At 37.2% G+C, this 18,680-nt stretch overlaps 1 protein-coding gene across 13 annotated transcripts in view; it reads left to right on the top strand.

Moving 5' to 3' along the window:
• Positions 1-18,680, top strand: part of EPHA5 (EPH receptor A5) — a 350,923-nt gene that overhangs the window by 265,745 nt on the left and 66,498 nt on the right. For 8 of the 13 annotated variants that reach the window (NM_001437321.1, NM_001437313.1, XM_017007878.3 and 5 more), the window contains one exon: positions 266-371. In NM_001437321.1, coding sequence (NP_001424250.1) covers positions 266-371 — 106 coding nt within the window. The remainder of the gene's footprint in view (positions 1-265; positions 372-18,680) is intronic. The other 5 variants (NM_001437320.1, NM_001437319.1, NM_182472.5 and 2 more) reach the window with 1 other exon arrangement.

The raw sequence follows: 18,680 nt of genomic DNA, 5'->3' as shown, positions 1-18,680 counted from the left end.
AACAACATGCATTCATTTTTTATTATGACAAGGAAATAATCAGTGACTTAGTGATGCTCTCAAATCTCTATTTGGAAAGTAAATATTTTCTATTATAGATGACTTTTCAATTACACACTTTTAAGAAAGGATATTAGGGGAAATTTCAGCTAAGTGTGGGTAAATTGCTTAAATCATGAATTGATTACTGTCTATTAAGCAACTTTTATTTTGAATGCATGTGATCACTTTAACCACAAGCTCCATTTTCTGTATCTCCTATCAGCAGTTGCAGCATCCAGCGATCAAAGCCAGATTCCTGTAATTGCTGTGTCTGTGACAGTGGGAGTCATTTTGTTGGCAGTGGTTATCGGCGTCCTCCTCAGTGGAAGGTAAGAGAGGAAGCTGTGATTCTGAAGTTCTGCAGCTGATCTCTTCCTCACCTTGATCTGACCATTTGGCTGTTGAGCACATCCCAAAACAAATCAGGCAAGCAATATATCAGCAGATAATCTCAATACATGATGCAATTCCTGAGCCTTATCTTGTTCATATTATTGATATTTTTTAAGCCCACAATTTCTCTTTTTAGGTATGCTCTCTTCACAAGAGCTGTATTGATGTGTTATTGTTTATTCGGTTAATATAGCTATATCTCTTTATATGACACATATTTTTTAATCTGAAAATTTTTTATCTCTCAAAATTGTATATGGTTGCCTGCTTCAAGTTTAATTAGCATTTGGGAAAAGCTATCTCTGTACCAAGTATATTTTTGAGGAATAAGAAATAATTCTATTTAGTCAGCATTCTATCCTAACAGGGTGGTGTATACAAAGCAGAAATTATGGCAAACAAGCTACTTGGAAAATGACCAAACATTTTCACTGACCACTTTTATTTTCAGCTTCTAAGTGATTTCAACCTGAATACTTCAATCATGATATATACTGATTTGAAGTGAATTGTATTAAATATTATCTAAATAGATACATGAATATATAATATATTACATATCTACATTTTTCATTTTATACCAAAAAGAGATAAAGTCTTAACAATAGCTATTCTAGGTGCTTTCTGATATTAAGCTGAGCATAATCAACCTCCTTAAAAATAAAATAAAATGCAATAAAGTAGAATAAAACAAAATAAACTAAATAAAACAAAATAAACTATATAAAACAAGAGTATGCTGTTTTCCTACAATAAACATAGTTTCACGTATTTTTAAAATCCAGGCCATTATTAGAAGGAATATTTAGTAATGGGAGCTGTCCATTTGAAAATATATTTTGGTGTTAGATCATTATAGAAAACTTAATGAAAGTCTTCATGGAAATATTTATTTCTGAGCAAAAAAAAGTGAAAATGTACCATAAGGTCCAAAAAAAAAGACAGGAAATCAATGTTCATATTGATTTTGTTACCGTTCTACTCATTTACTGTTGACTCTTCAGCACCTATTCGACTCATAAATATACAGAATTGGGCACTTTTCAATGTACTGCATATTGTGCTCTGAAAAGATTTTTGATTATATCCTTAAATTACAGAAGTAACAGTTTATTTTTATAAAATATTGCAAATTATTTTGAACATTTCCTCATTGTATATGAAAATTCTATTACTTCTGGTCCTTATTTATTTGAGTGTTTGAAGTTTTCTTAAGAATATATGCAGTAATTCATTGCTTACTTTTAATGTTAGATTAGCATTTACGCGTTTTTAGAATTTCTAGCCTAGGGGACAGTTTGTGTTCTGTTGAGGACAATTAAGCCCATCCCAGCCAGGGGGATAGCTATCTAGTGCCCCACTGATTTCATCTCTCTGAAGTCACCTGGGGAGAATGCACAACCTATATCCCTGCTTTCTGGAAGATAAGCTGATTTCATCGGTCTTGTCAGATTTTGATCCAATAGTATAATCAAGTTGCAAGAACTGTAACTACTAGGAAAACTACCATGTGACAATGTGTCTTTTCTACCCCAAAGTATAGATGATGACTTTGTGGAGCTGGTTTGTAATGCCATTTCTTTACTTCTGACTGAGATAAGAGTTAGTGATTTCCTTTCTAATAAATTAAATAAACATTAGTTATATTTATAGCCATGGAGGTTATAAGAAGATTCTGTATTTGTTGTGTGTGCACTTAGGAGAAATGAATAAAAATGGAAAAAAAAGAACCAAGGTCTAGAATCCAATAAATCTGTGTTTTTGAAAATTTATTAAGGAATACACATCAAATATAAGAAATATGTTGGTGTAGACTTAGCACAGTGAATTTACTGGTGACATTTTACTATGGATTCTTACTTACCCTTATGTGGCATCTTTCACATTAGATAAAATGTTTGAAAGAACTTTCAATCTACTTACTATTTGGTAACCGAAGGATAGTATCATTTTAGTGCATACGTGCGCACATTCCTACAAAGTCACCCATACACTTTGTATCGGTTCTCACACTGCTATGAAGAACTGTTCAAGACTGGGTAATTTATAAAGAAAAGTGGTTTAATTGAGTCATAGTTCCACATGGAGGGGGTGGTCTCAGGAAACTCATAATCATGGAGGAAGAGACCTGTTCACAAGGCAACAGGAAGGAGAAGTGCTGAAAGGGGAGGAACCAAGGGGGAAGAGTCCCTTAAAAAACCATTAGATCTCCTGAGAACAATCTTACTATCATGAGAACAGCATGTGGAAAACCGCTCGCATGATCCAATTACCTCCACCTGGTCTCTCCCTTGACATGTGGGGATTATGGGGATTATAATGCAAGATGAGATTTGGGTGGGGACACAAAGCCTAACCATCTCTATCTCTCTCTCTTTCTCTCTCTCTCTCTCTCTCTCTCTCTCACACACACACATACACAAATTCTATATATACCTGAAATTGCTGTTCAAGAACAATGAAATTTTAGTATAATGTCTCATTTGTACTAGAATCAGGTATGTACCCAAAACACATAGCTTAATTTTCTGCCAAATCCAAAGCTTGGTAAAAAAATTTTTGAACATTTTGTCTAATGAAAGTGTAATTACTTTTAAAAACAGCAACATCTTAGCAATTAGTACATTGTTCATTCATATTAAAATTCTTTCCTAATCCAATTTAATTTCACAACATAGTTTAAGATGCTGACACTAGGAATTTGCAGTTGAAAAGACAGCACATTTCGCCAAAAACGAATCTGAGGCTTATAGTTTTTTAGAAACCAACTTTTTGCATTAAATTTTAATTACTTTATTTGTTGGATGTATTTTCTTGAATTTCGGGGGACATTTGTCATGTGATAGAAACATCTTTGGCCATTGTATTGTACTCTTCATGGACAAACTACTTTATATTTTATTATATAAATATAACTAAAAGCTAAATGATATGATTCTTGAAAGACTTTTTCTATCTCACTTAATGCAATAAACTTTGTAATTTTTATTTGGACCCATTAAATATAACTCACCCTGCAGTACCTAGATTGTCCTGAATTAACTCAGTAAAGATTTGTTAAATAAATGGAAAACTAAATGAAGAAATGTGGCCAAAACCTAACATAAATTTGGGAAACTATATTTGAGTAATAGCAAATTATTTTAAAAAGCTTGTCCTAGGAAAGATGTAAAAATATAGGATTATATATGTTGCTCCCATCTCTCTGTGCTAAAACATGATTGATTTTTTTTCTTTCTCTCTCTCTCACACACACACACATGCACACACACACACACATGACTACCATCTCACTTTGAAATTACCCTTATTACTTTCTAATATCTGGAATATGATATGATAACCCAGATATTTGCTCCTAGGTAACATATCATTTAAGTAAAAATAATTAGACTCATCATTGGTTAAATAAGTTAATTTTATTTTGATACATTGCAAAATATTAACATCACTTGCATGTAATATTCATTGGCAATTTATTTTATGATTTGGGTCTAAGAGGAAATATATCTTGAAGATCCATATTCACTGAAAATTTGTATTTTTATTTAGACAAAAAAAGTGCAAATGATGACACACTGGGTATTGTGAAACTGATCTATTTCAAATAAAAAAGGTTAACTTTTAAAATTCTAAAATATGCTCAAGGATGAAAAATAAATCAAATATAGAGACTTTTTAATCTTTTCAGGCTTAAATTGATTATGCAGAAATCTTTTGGAATCTTCCTACCTAGACACAATTTAAAATAATGTAAAGTATCCATCTTGAAGGAAAAATCCTATTTAACAAAATGGCAAAGAAGTATAACATGTTAGAATTCTTGACAATTTTAGAATGTGGGTGATCTTCCTTTTTAAATGTGTTAAGTAATCTATGGGGTATTTTCTGCAGGGTTCAGACTCTCTTCACTGTTTCCCATTAACCTTTAAATGTTTCTTACAGGATTATAAAACAATTGATATGCCTTCCACAAACTATGAGCTAATCATCTTAGGATGGAAATAAATTAAGCCTCTTTATATGCACAGCATATTGAAATTGCCCTTTAATCTGTCTCTTTTATCACTAATGACATTGGGCATTGATAACTTTCTTTTGTCCTAATTTTGTAGAGTTTATCTCTTATATTTACTGTTTTACAGATTTGTAAATGTTTAATTGACCAGTCTTTCACCAATGAATATTTTCACTGTTTTCCAGTTAAATGTTTGAGAAAGTTTTTCACTTTACTTTTTCCTCTTTTTAATACTTTAAATATGATTATTGATATAAAATTGACTTTTTTATTTATCTGTGTCCTTATTTCAGACAGTGTAAATTCTGAAAATTAACTACTGAATAGTTCAGAGGCTGATGAAAAGCTTAAAGTAACAAGATTTAGTGGTATAGACATACAAAGGAAAACATCTTTTAGTTTATAGAAGCAATCTCTTTTTGGAACCTTTCTCAATACAACCTTCATTATGGGATTAAAGAATATTTTTTAATACTATGTTTCTGATCACTGATTTATTATGTGATCCTGAATTTAATTAAATTTCAAGCATGCAGAGCTTCACTTTTTGTATTAAATTAAGTCCACATACACAATTAGAAGTAAAAACATAGACATTGCACACATGTACTTTTCCACCCTTGTTTGCACATGTTCTTGCATATAAACAAAACACTTAAAACTTTTTGTTAATTTTAAAAACAGGAAACAAAAAAGCCAAAAATATCTTCTGAAGAGGAAGAATAATTCTGTTATGCTGCTTGGCCTTATGTATGATTTTGTCACAGGATTCTTAGGGTGTTGCTTTTCCAGGCAGAAGCCTCTGTGGCCAGGGGCACCTTTGCCTGAGTTTTGCTCAGGCCTGTTAGGCTCGTTCTGCCCACTCGCCCTGGCAGGCTGCACTCATCTTGTGTTACCAGCCTGAATCCCACAATTGCAAAGGGCAAGCCAGGCATGGAGCAGTGAGGGGTGCATGAGTGAGTGAGCACAGGGTCTGGCCACTGAGCACACAGCCTGGCACGCTTCCTGCTGTGGAGGGGTGGGTTGCTCCTGATACCAGCACAAGTACTTAATTAGTGCCAGCTGCAGCTGAATCAGATGCATTGCAAGTAGCTTTCACTGTGGGCACCATGTCTGGATGAGGGGAATGTGGTGATGCCTGGAAACTTGGAAATGCCAGAAACTGCAAAGCCCCAAAGAGGGTGTCACATTCCTGACTCGGAGCACCCATAGGTCTGGGCTCCCCAAAGGGTTGCCACTCTTCTCTCCTTCTCATTGCCAGCAATATGGTGAGTGTAGTTGAGAGGCGTGTTTTAGCCCTGTTTGTTACAGCTCTTCCACTCTCACCACTCAGTGTCAGAAGTTCTTATCTCATGCTCAGGAAGAATGAGGTACATGGACAACTGTAGAATGAGCAAGGTTAAGGGGTGCTTTATTGAGTAACAGTATAGCTTTAAGGAGACCCAAAGTGGGTAGCTCCTTTCTGCAGGTAGATCATCCCAGTGAGTGCAGCTCTCAGGAGAGGAGACCCAGAGTGTGTAGCTCCTATCTGCAGGCATGTTGTCCCAATATCTGAAGCCCTTAGTGGAGAATAGACCCAGAGTGGGTAGCTCCTATTTGCAGGCAGGAAGTCCTGTTGTCTCCCCAGTCTGGCTGAGTCCAGGGTTTTTATGGGCTTCCAAAGGAAGAAAGTGTGTGTTGAGTGGACTGTGGGCAGCCATAGGCAGGCGAGAGAAAGCACCATAACTTCTCACTCTGGATCACAGAAGTGAAAGCTTAGCCCCCAGGCTTCAGGCCATCCCTGGCTTGAAGGTGAGGCTTCACTGGGGAGCCACTGTCTTCTGTCCAGGATCCTGTCTGCCTCCTGCCACCATCAATATGCTGTCCACAGCACCCAGGCTGTTCATGCTGAGGGGTTCCTGCAGGCCCATGCTGAGCCACTCTCAGATTTCCCTCAACTCTCTCCTGTGCTCTTTGGTGCCCAAAGTCCAGAGGGAGCCAAGGTGACAGGGGACTGCTGTGTCAGCACCACCCCAAGTGTGCACACATCTGCCTGGGTCACAACAGCACCCAGGGTCATCCTCAACTTTGCTCCAAAATCAGAGTGGGCACCAGGAGCAGGGAGAGGCCAGGCAGTGGTAACAGGCCCTTCTGAGCCTACAGGGGCAGGGGGCTTCTCAGGCCCCTGAGAGCACAAGAATGCTTGGTTCCTCAGCTGTGGCTGGGTGTCTGCAGCTGCACTTAAGAGGGTGGGGCTCCTCCCCTGCCAACTTGGAAGGGGGGTGGTGAGGCTTCTACCTTGTCCTGGCTCATGCTCATTTCATGGAGCACACAGCCCAGGCCATGCCTCCTCCACTACAGCCAGCTTCTTTGCAACTGCTTCTCCAGACAGGCCACCACTGCCATCAGTCCCCCCTCTGAAGAGGTACATCTAACTGCCATTAGGATAGGGACAATGACTACTCTTAACTGCTTCATATGATAGGGGGCATTTTTCTGGGGAAAACAGCAGTCAGATCTCTCTCAGAGGCCTATCTAAGGGTCCCTGGTAAGAAAGGAGCCATCATCTGAGGCTCCCGTTGCATGACTGCTGGGAGTTTGATGGCCTCAAGACAAGAAGAAACACATTTTACAAGGAGGTTAAGTGTGCATGGATCAAGTGTGAGTATTATACAAAGAGGAGCTAAAAGGAAAAAAAAAAACTAGAAATCTAAAACGTAGACTATTTTGAAAAAGAATGTTGTGACTAGAGCTGTTTCATCCTGGTCAAAAAAATTAAGTCTTGTATGGGGGCAGTTAAACTTTAAGAGAGAAATAACTCTTTTGAGGGGGTAGATAATCCCTTGGGAGTTCAGGATTAAGGAGTCCTTGACAAAAATGTTTTAGGTGGGGAACAGAACAAAGGTGAGAACAGTAAGCAAGAGGTCTCCCCAACTACAACTAAGGGTTTGGGAAAAATATTGGGTTAGATGTGTTCCTGAGATGCCCTCCCCACTCCACAATCTTGCTAAGAGAGGAGAGGGGAGCTGTATTGGAGAGAACTGAAAGACCAGCTCCAGTGTCCAGGAGGAGGTCCACCTTTCTCCCTTTGACTTCTGAACCATCAGAGCCAGGGAGAAGTACCCCAGGGCCCATCAGTCCTGCTGGACCATTTGGGCTGGACGCAGTGACCTGTCTCCAAGGACAGTCTGGTCTTCAGTGGTCCCCATTGCAAATTGGACAGGGCCAAAGTGGCCTCCTCCTGCTGTCCAGACAGTCCTTCCTAAAGTGCCACAGCTTGCCACATTTGTAGCAGTTAACAGGTCTATCCAAGGGATTTTGGGATTTGTGAGCCTGCAAGGCAGCTGTTAGAGCCTCTCCCTTTTTCTTGTGTCTCCTTTCCCTCTCTTGGGCCTCCTTCTGATTCCTATTGTAAAAGACTGTGGTGGCCACTTTCAGGAGGTTCTCTAAAGTACTATCTGGTGCCATGGCCTGTTTCTGCAGCTTCCTCCTGATATCAGGGGCTGCTTGAATAATGAACTTATCCTTCAGGATCAGTTGTCCCTCAACTGAATCAGGAGTTAGAGACATGTGCTTTACCAAGGCCCCTCTTTGCCTTTCCAGGAAGGCAGTGGGATTTTCATCTAATCCCTGTTCTATCATGAATAGCTTGGACTAATTGAAAGGCTTAGTCCTAGTCCTTCGTAACCCTTCCAGTATACACACATGAAAGTGCTTCCTCTTTCATTCTTCCATTTCATCACTGGTGTCGCATTTAGGGTCCTCCAGTGGTACTGCTGTTCTTCCAACGGGATAAGGCTCATCCCCTTCTCTGAAACTATATGAGATACAAAGGTCGTACCGAAAATTCTGCACTGCTTGCAGGGTGGCCTGCTTTTCAGTGGTAGTCAGGGTCTGATTCAAAAGTAACGTAATGTCCTTCCAGGTGAGTTCAAATACTTGAGTTAAATTCTGGAAGGCTTCTATATAACTGTCAGGTCATCTGAATACTTTACAATATTCCCCTTAATTAGCCTTAAGTCCTGTAGAGAAAAGGGAACTAGGACCCTAATCAATATCTAGGTAGCAGGGGGTTGGTGTGTCAGCACTGCCCCGAATGCACACACACCAGCAAGGTTTTAACAGTGCCCAAGCTTATCCTCAACTTTGCTTTGAAATCAGAGCTGGCACCAGTAGCAGCGAGAGGCCAGGCAGCAGGAGCAGGCACGTCTGAGCCTACAGGGGCAGGGAGTCTTTTGGGGTTCCCCAAAGCACAGGGATGCCCAGATCTACATCCACAGTTGGGTGGCTGCAGCTGTGCCTAGAAGAGCAGGGCTCCTGCCCTGCCAATTTGGAAGGGGGTGGGTTTCCATCCATTGACATCTTCTGCTGGCTCCATAGAGCGCATAACCATGGCCTCACCTCCCCCTCTCCAGTCGGTGCCTTTGCAGTGGTCATTCCAGACATGCCACCACTGCCATCCATTTTAAGGCTATTTATATGTGAGTTTAATGCTATGATGTTCCTTAGATGATAAATTTAATTTGAGAAATGGCTTAATGCCTGTTAAAAGTTATATTTTCTGGCCAACCAGTCTTCTCTTTGATTGTCATGATCATGTTCAAATCATGTACCTGGACATAAAACTGCTCAATCCTATTTCTCCTTATGTTCTATTCAACAATTGAAACTCAATCCATTTGAAATGTCTCAGTTTTCTGAAGCAAAAATTCTTTAGAAGTCAGCCAATACTATAACAGAGGCTATCATAATTATGATCATCAGACCATGTAGAAATTAGAGAAACAAGTAAATTTGTATAAAACGGTAGGTTTTATTGTTTCAAGAAAATAATATTAAAATTTAGCCTTTTGTACTTACTTTTAAGTCCCTTGAAGTAAGATAGGTTGTAAATGACGTCTTCACAATTATCCATTACAAACATTTTTGGACACTTATTGCACATAAACACAAAGGTAAGTCCAGGACATATGATATAAGAAAGCAGTGTTCTTTCTATAAATGTTTTTACTCTTACTTAGTAGCGTGATAAGTAGTCAAACTTTTATAAAACACAATTACAGTAGTTAGGCATAGAAGAAGAGTTTACAGTACAATTGGAATCTGTCCCTTCATGATAACTTTTCAGTTAGTCTGAATCATTAATTCAAGAAGTATCTGAGTTCTTGCTACATGCCTGGCACAGTTCTTATGTTAGTCAAAGCAATGACTTGATAGTAAAATCCTTTGAACTTAGAAAGTTTTCTTCAAGCTCATTTGGGGCCAAATAAAATATTTATGTCAGAGTTTTTAATGCAGCTATTTAATTTAGACACATCAACGAGCTCTGACTACATCTGATATCAAAGCATCATAGTTTCTTGAATGAGTACTTTGTGAAGAGTATATTCATGAAGGGTAGGTGCTAAAACCTGCAGAGAAGCTTCTTTGCCTAATGGAAGTAACATGGTAATAATAATGATAAGTATATCATTATCTAACATTAATTACATAGCATTTCCTACTAGGCAATGTTCTAAAGGTTTTACAAGTAATATCTCACAACACCACGATGTCTCAATACTAGATCTTATCTAATTTATAGCTGATAAAATTATCTTCTTGCTGTTTCTTAAAAATTGTAAGAATGGTCCTGCCTTAATTCTTTGGCATTGGCTCTTCTTACTGTCTAAAACTTCCTTGACACAGAGAACCTTATAGCTTCTTTCTTCTTTCAAATCTTTGCTCAATCTTGTTCTCTCAATTGAGCATACTAAAAAGATGACCTGATTGTTTCCTCTACACACCATGCATCATTTTTAGTCTGTCTGTCCTACTAGAGAAGGATACAAAATAATAGAGATTTTTATCTGTGACTTTTTTCCTCTTGGAAAGTGTCCAGAACATAAACTGTTGTATACAACCAGTCAGTAAGGGCCTGGACCATGAACCCAGCTCTGACGTCAGGGCCTTTGCTCTTTAGGATATAACTTCCCCAAGACTTGTGATTATTCAACTTTTGAACTTTTGTGTGGGAAGCCTCTGATTTTCTGCTGCTAAAAATAATGGAATTTACATTTTAAAACTTTAGAAACTATCAGAAATATGAATAAAACATCTCTTAGAAATTAATATTAATGGTAACTTGACACTAAAAAATACATTGAATTTTAGTAGATCCTCCTCCCTTCATGGGACAGGTATATCCAGTAAATTGTATTCATTCTAAAATCATGCAAATTAAATGTCACCAACTCCATGGTCATTCCTGACTTTGTGAACCCTGGTTAATTCCATTTCTGTCTACCCTTAAAACTTTATTTTCTCACTAAAGTAGTTTTAGTTCACCATTTAATGTATCTGTCACCCCAGTAGATATGTACTCATCTTGAATATCCAGATTACAATGTAGGTCCTGGGTAAATGTCTAATGAAAGTATGACTGGAGGAGTGCAGCTGGAGTTTAAGACTATTAAAAATGTGCTTCAAACTACCTTTCCAGAATTATCACTATATGTTGTTGTCTTGGATTTATTTGCTTGCAAATGATAGAAGGCATAATTTAGAGTGGCTTAATCTAAAAGGAAATTATTGATCTTGCAGCTGAAAAGTTCCCAGATATTAAAACATTAAGTCTAAAGAACAGGTACTGATAGATCCAGGTGTTTAAAATAATGTCTGTTATGCAATTGAGACATAATTCAAGAATGTTGTTGAACAAATATGGTATTTAAAGGCATTGATTAAAATGAAGTTATTGGATAAAACCTTGGGACACTGTGATATTGAAAAGTAGGGTGGAAGAATAAGATCCAGCCACAGTCAGCTAAGAAGGAGAGGCCCATGAGGTTGGAAGAGATCAGGCAACTGCTGGGTCACTAAGGGGAAATGGTCACTGTGTTGAACACAGATTTGACTTTAGGGCTCTCACCCTTCACTCTCAGAGCTGAAATGGCACAGGCTGTTACAGAAACTTGATACCCAGCTCCACAGAGTAAGTCAATCAGTAGCACTGAGACCTTAACTAAGGAGAGGATAGAGAAGTTACACTTTGTGACCAACACCATAGGAACTCACAACTGAAACTGAAAATAGGGTCAGTTTCATACAAAGCACGTGGACTGAGAATGAGGAAAGAGAATCTCTCACTCTACACTCTTTTTCACATCCTCCATTTGCTTGGAAAAAGCTTCATATTATCTCTCAATATTTAAGCCTTACTGACATGTGAAGTCTTATATCAAACTTTCTGTCATGAATAGAGGAAAAAGAAATTTCCTCAATCCCTTTAGCCAAAGTATTCTCTCCTTTGAACAATATATCAAAACAATGTATCAGTATTCTCATAGAATTTAACACTTTCAGCCACAAATTATAGGGCATTGTGTAAATATCTTCTCTCTTCTGCCGGCCAGTAAGTATTTAGAGAATAAAGGCTTCTGTGGCTTTCCTACATAACTTAATTAAATAAATAACTCATAAGTTATTGAATTAAAGATGAGCTGTGCATCAATCTCCATTTGAAGTGGTTTGTCCATTTTTCCCATTAATGTTGACATTTTAGAAAATGAAAAACTTTAATATCTCTAAAATAAACATAATGAAATGCTCAACCCATAAATACACCTTTAAATAAACAAATATAATCCTTTTGATCCCATCACAAAGTAAATGCAATGATTTCAAGAAGTAGTGCATAGGAGTTAATAAATCCTCACTAGCTTTTGATTTTATTTCTTTGACATCTGGACATGCTTATACCATTGTCATGATGTACCCGGTGACGTCAAGCAGCAATAACTTTTATAAATTGATATATTTGGCATCTATAACATGATTAGGCTTGTATAGTTTCAGAATTTAATAAGTTCTAATAAGAAAAATAAATTTTATGAAAACATTTTAATCTCATAAATATTATATTTTAAAATAATGGTAACCAAACATTTGTAATCATATATACAATCCCTGATTTTAGAAAAAAGCTCAATAAAAGTAAATCTCAGAAGCTTATGAGTTAGCAATAGATGTGACTTTGTAAAACTGGAAAAAATCCAGACGTGTATTGATTTAATATCTGAGGGTTTTTATCTCTTCTATTTTCCCATGATTACATGCTTTTTTCTTCAAAGGCTCTGAATCAAAATAATTAGAGAGCACATCATAATTTATTAATAACTGACAAATGGGGATTAGGGCAGAGTGATGCCAGGAAGACAAGGAACATAGCAACAACTAATTGCCCACTGTGGGAAGTAAACCGTCCTAGGAAACTGAACGTAAGAGGGTTACTGGCTCAATTGCTCAACACTATTGAACATCCACTATTGAGCAAATCAAATATGTAAACATGCTGCAATGCTCAGGAAGTTATATTGAGGCAAACATTTGAAAGAAAAACTCAGTTTATGGTACTGGAAACAACAAGTTAATATCACTCACTTGCAAAGATATAAATTATTTAAGTAAAGAATCAAATGACTTAGATTTCACCTAGTATGAAGCAAAGGGCAGGTCAAAAGCCTAACCACAAGAGCAAAATACACTTTTTGTCTAAAGCTCCATTTGCTCAAAGCTCCATTTCTCTAAGAATGTGATCCCTATCTGAAAGAGTACAGGCTGGCACTCCAGAAGACGCTGGGCTCTGGCAGAAGACCCTCCTAGGTTTCTGGGAATTTTACACATCTCTCAGAACCCACAATAACACAGCCTTTCACAGGAACCTGATACCCAGCTCCACAGTGAAAATCAATAGCACTGCCCTATGCCAAAGGCTAGAACATCTATTCAACAGAGAAATCAGTTAATTTCCTGAGCCATGTCTGGAAGTATACTCATTGTTGAAAAATGAATCAAAGTGTCTCAGATGATTTTAAACATCAGCTAAAAGCCACATTTGTTCAAGATCTGTGCTTTATAAGGTCTTACATGAACCAGGAAAAAAAGAAAATGTTTCTAATAGATCAGCAACTCAATCTCAAGCAGCTGAATTCTTTATTATGCCATTTGGAAGGACTGACTTTGTATACTGCTGATGGCTGTGATAGTTATAGTGATAAAAAGCATATTCTATTTCAAGTGATATGGTTAGGCTTTGTGTCCCCACCCAAATCTCATCTTGAATTATAATCCCCATAATCACCTCATGTCAAAGGAGAGACCAGGTGGAGGTAATTGAATCATGGGGGCAGTTTCCCCTATGTTGTTCTCATGATCCTGAGTGAGTTCTTACAAGAACTAATGGTTTTATAATGTGCTCTTACCACTTTGCTTGGCACTTCTCCTTCCTGCTGCCTTATGAAAAACGTCCCTTGCTTCCCCCTCCACAATGATTCAGGATTGTAAGTTTCCTGAGGCCTCTCCACCCACTTTCTCTTATAAATTACCCGGTCTCCAGCAGTTCTTTATAGCAGTATGAAAACAAACTAATACACCAATTATTTTGCTTACCAAAATTCCCGTACTGTCTCTTACTCCTTGTTTCTCTCATTACTTTTTTTCTCCTCTAATGTTTTAATCTCACAGAAAAATGGCATACTTTTATGTATTAAATATTAGTTATGTCTGCTTTCATCGTCACACTGTGTTTTAGCCATCGTTATTATAAATGACAATCTCAGTTGATTTTGTTGTTATTTTGGGACTCTTCCTTGCTGTTGTTTTAAATAACATATTATCATTTCTTCCTGTTTGCAAGATTCGGCACTGGAATCTGCATACCCATGATGGTTGCTGTTTGTTGAGTTCTTGCCCTGTGTTCATCTAACTGATGGTTAGTAAGGTATGACCACAGGAAGAAACACGGAAGAGGCATAGGAAAACAAAGTTTATTATACTCTCCGGTCCTAGAAACGGAAGGTATGGCATGTCATGCAGGGCCATCAGAGAAACACCAGATTTTGGTCAGGAGGAAGAAGACAGGAGTGAGGGGAAAGTCTAGGAGTGAGCCTTTGTTGGTGTTTCTATGTGAAAGTATATTGGCTAGTTTGAAGAATTCTGGCAAACTTTGGGCTTATAGAAGAGGTCTCTAGTTGCCTGGAACCTGGGCCTGGGGTTATCAAGGCAGGGGAATATTGCCTCCTGAAGTTAATGGGAGGTTAAAAAAGGTATTGCTCCAGATTGGTTAGTTTGCATCTCAAATACATGCTGTAGGCTAAGTACTTTGCTACTTCTAGGAACTGGCTAGCCATGAGAGGGGCAGTCTTTCCCCAGCCAGAGAGGTTTTCAAGATGTCAAAATATCATAATATACAGACAGAGAAAATATATAAAAAATAGAGTACTCTTGGACCAAGATAGATTGATAGGTTGAAATGCAATGAAAGCCAAGAAATATAGTTGAAAGTTTAGTGTAGTTTTTTTTTCCCCCTTACTACACCCCTACTTCCATGCAGAAGGCAAGATCTCATCAAGTTGGCAAGGTTTGACCTCCCTGTGGAAATTAATTGGGGAAAACCTCTGTTTCCCAAGTTTTTTCTAGGCTGTGTTCAGACCAACTTTGTAATTCCTCTTTAGTGTCCCTCCAGACAGATAATTCCATAGATTCAAATAGTCCCATGTACCTCACAAGTACCTCTTGCCTACCTCCAATAGTTCTCAATGCCTCTGATGTTGGAGAATCCTAATGCTTCTCTGATATTGCTATGCCTATTCCCCTTGATTTTTCCTGAAGCAAATTGAGTAGCCTTTGTTTAAACTGATCCTCTCCATAGATAATGCACAGATCCTGCCAACATTAAAGACCAAATAATCTATTATCCATGTTGAATTTCAATTGAAGTCATGTAGCTTTGATTATTTAATCATTTAATTCAATTGTTTAATACATTTATTAATATCCTTAGTGTTTAATACAAAGAGAAACCTGTTTCAAAATATGGAGAAATATTACACATACAATGTAAAAGATAATCATAATGTGCAATTACAGAGAAAAGAGTTGAATCTTCAGAAATATTCAAGAATATAAGATGAAGTCAAGTACTTTTTATATTAATGTTAATTTTTCCTAGATATACTGGAATTTTACCAAAAATCTGCAAAGCTAATGTTGTTCAAGAGATTTTTGGATATGCCAGCACCACAATGCTATATTTTTAAGGATGCAAAGTTCAGTATAACTATTTAAGCAATAGACACATTAAGCTTGCACAAGTATTCTGATTTTCCTAATTTGCTGCAAGGAAAAATATAAGGAATTACCAATTTAGAGGTCCAATCTTCCTCAGACAACTTTTAAGATGAAATTCAGCCACTTAAATTATTAATTTCTATGTAATCATACCAAAGATGATCTAAAACTCCAACAAGGAATCATCAAATTAGCATGAATTCAATATTTACATGATAAGTGAATTAAAATTATTTACATAGGAATTTAGATGGACCTAAAACCATAAAAACCCTAGAATAAAACCTAGGCATTACCATTCAGGACATAGGCATGGGCAAGGACTTCATGCCTAAAACACCAAAAGCAATGGCAACAAAAGCCAAAATTGACAAATGGGATCTAATTAAACTAAAGAGCTTCTGCACAGCAAAAGAAACTACCATCAGAGTGAACAGGCAACCTACAAAATGGGAGAAAATTTTCGCAACCTACTCATCTGACAAAGGGCTAATATCCAGAATCTACAATGAACTCCAACAAATTTACAAGAAAAAAACAACCCCATCAAAAAGTGGGCAAAGGATATGAACAGACCCTTCTCAAAAGAAGACATTTATGCAGCCAAAAGACACATGAAAAAATACTCATCATCACTGGCCATCAGAGAAATGCAAATCAAAACCTCAATGAGATACCATCTCACAACAGTTAGAATGGCAATCATTAAAAAGTCAGGAAACAACAGGTGCTGGAGAGGATGTGGAGAAATAGGAACACTTTTACACTGTTGGTGGGACTGTAAACTAGTTCAACCATTGTGGAAGTCAGTGTGGCGATTCCTCAGGGATCTAGCAGTAGAAATACCATTTGACCCAGCCATCCCATTACTGGGTATATACCCAAAGGATTATAAAACATGCTGCTATAAAGACACATGCACACGTATGTTTATTGTGGCACTATTCACAATAGCAAAGACTTGGAACCAACCCAAATGTCCAACAATGATAGACTGGATTAAGAAAATGTGGCACATATACACCATGGAATACTATGCAGCCATAAAAAATGATGAGTTCATGTCCTTTGTAGGGACATGGATGAAATTGGAAATCATCATTCTCAGCAAACTATCACAAGGACAAAAAACCAAACACCTCATGCTCTCACTCATAGATGGGAATTGAACAATGAGAACACATGGACACAGGAAGGGGAACATCACACTCTGGGAACTGTTGTGGGGTGGGGGGAGGGGGGAGGGATAGCATTAGGAGATATACCTAATGCTAAATGACAAGTTAATGGGTGCAGCACACCAGCATGGCTCATGTATACATATGTAACTAACCTGCACATTGTGCACATGTACCCTAAATCTTAAAGTATAATAAAAAAAAAGAATGAGACATACAAAAAAAATGAATTTAGATGGACAAATATGTAATAAACCAGTATTCTACATTTGTATGACTTCCATGCTTTTTGTAATACATGGGAACCTCTTAATGATTTGTTGTGTTGTTGATATCTAACTTTTCCTGACTCAGCCCTGTTCTACCTGTTCCAAACGTACATACTGTAGTCTTTTGGATTTACCTCTTCTCTAGTAATTTGGGAAGTAGTGGGCCAGGGTAAGGCTTTTTTTTAAGGCTTAATGATGTATTATTAATCATTTCAAACCTGTGCTAGTGTATACTGTTGCTTTTCAGCCCCAATAGGGAAAAAGCTACTTTTAAATATAAGTAGATGTGCATTTTACCACCCTGTATCTTTCTGCCTAAGCCTTGGGGCTTCTAAATCTTCATCCAATAAATTGAAATGAGAAGGAACTTCTGTATATCTCAAATATCTGAATGGAGCTTGTACAGTTTAGCCCATTTGTTCCTATCAGTTTCCAAAGCCATGGTGACTGGATCCTGCTCCAGTGTATCCAAGCCTTTGGACAGCGCCCCCAGCTCCAAGGAGGACTCTGAAATAACCCAGCTTGGAAGTCTATTAGGGGATCATCTCAGTATAAACCAAATGTCCTAAGGTGAAAATCACTATCAATCCTGCTTCCACTTACCGCCCAACCCCCGCCCCCACTGCATTGTGTCTCCATAGACTCCAAGTGCTCAGATTGCACCTGCACCACTTTAGCTATTTTCCAACATATTCTTAGAGGTTAGATTAATGGCCACGTCCTTAGATGAATGCCCTGATTTGCTGACATTACCAAGACGTCTTGCTTCTTCACTTTCCTATAAGTTTCAGCCTTTTTTTTTTATATTGCAGGTTACAAATTTGGCAGAGTTAAGTCAATTGCCCTAATTTCTCACTAAGCTGCTATTTTTATTTAGGTAGGCATTTCTTAATTCTTATTTTAAATTACAAAGAACATAAAAGACAAAATTCAGAAAGAAAGTTAATCATACCACCAGAAGCAAACAGTATTAATATTTTGCCATATATATTTAAGATGTCTTTTGTACAGTTGAATTTTTAATTGGTAGTTTTGTTTTCTGTTTTTTTTACTTAACATAACAATATAAAATTTATATGAGCAATTAAAAATATTTTAAAAGCAAAAATTTAGTGTCTGTTAGGTATGCTAATGTTTGATCTTTGTCATGAATGTTTTGCTCTCTCTGTGTGTGTATAACTGTTATTGTTTGAGAGAAAGATTTTGTGTGCCTCTGTGTGTGCATGTTTTGTATCTTACTATTTCTGTCATTAATGTCCTTAGAACACATTCATAAAATTCAAAGTAAGGGTCAATGCATATGAATATTTTTAAGATTGTTTATACATATTGACAAATGGCCCTTCTGAACTACTGTACAATTAGCATTCCCCTCAATGGTACATGATATTGGTAGTTCACAACCTAGAACATCGTTGCTTATTTAATAGGAGAAAAATAGCTGTGCATTTATAATTAAATTTATTTTTATTTTTAGATTTAATGAGATCATTCACTTATAAGCAAAAAGTACAGTCATTAGCTGTTTTAACATCTGTTTTGTAAATTGCATGAACAGGCTCTTTACCCATTAAAACTAGTGGGATTGTAGCACTTCACAGAACAGAGCTATATTATTGAAAGTGTCAACTTTTGTGTTTTAGTAATGTTTATTTTGCACGGGATATAAAAAAATCTTTAAAATGTTAATTT

The sequence above is a fragment of the Homo sapiens genome, chromosome 4 (assembly GCF_000001405.40).
Source record: "Homo sapiens chromosome 4, GRCh38.p14 Primary Assembly".
NCBI classification, from domain to species: Eukaryota; Metazoa; Chordata; class Mammalia; order Primates; family Hominidae; genus Homo; species Homo sapiens.
Note: the sequence above shows the minus strand (reverse complement) of the source record. Positions and strands in the feature narration are given on the sequence as shown.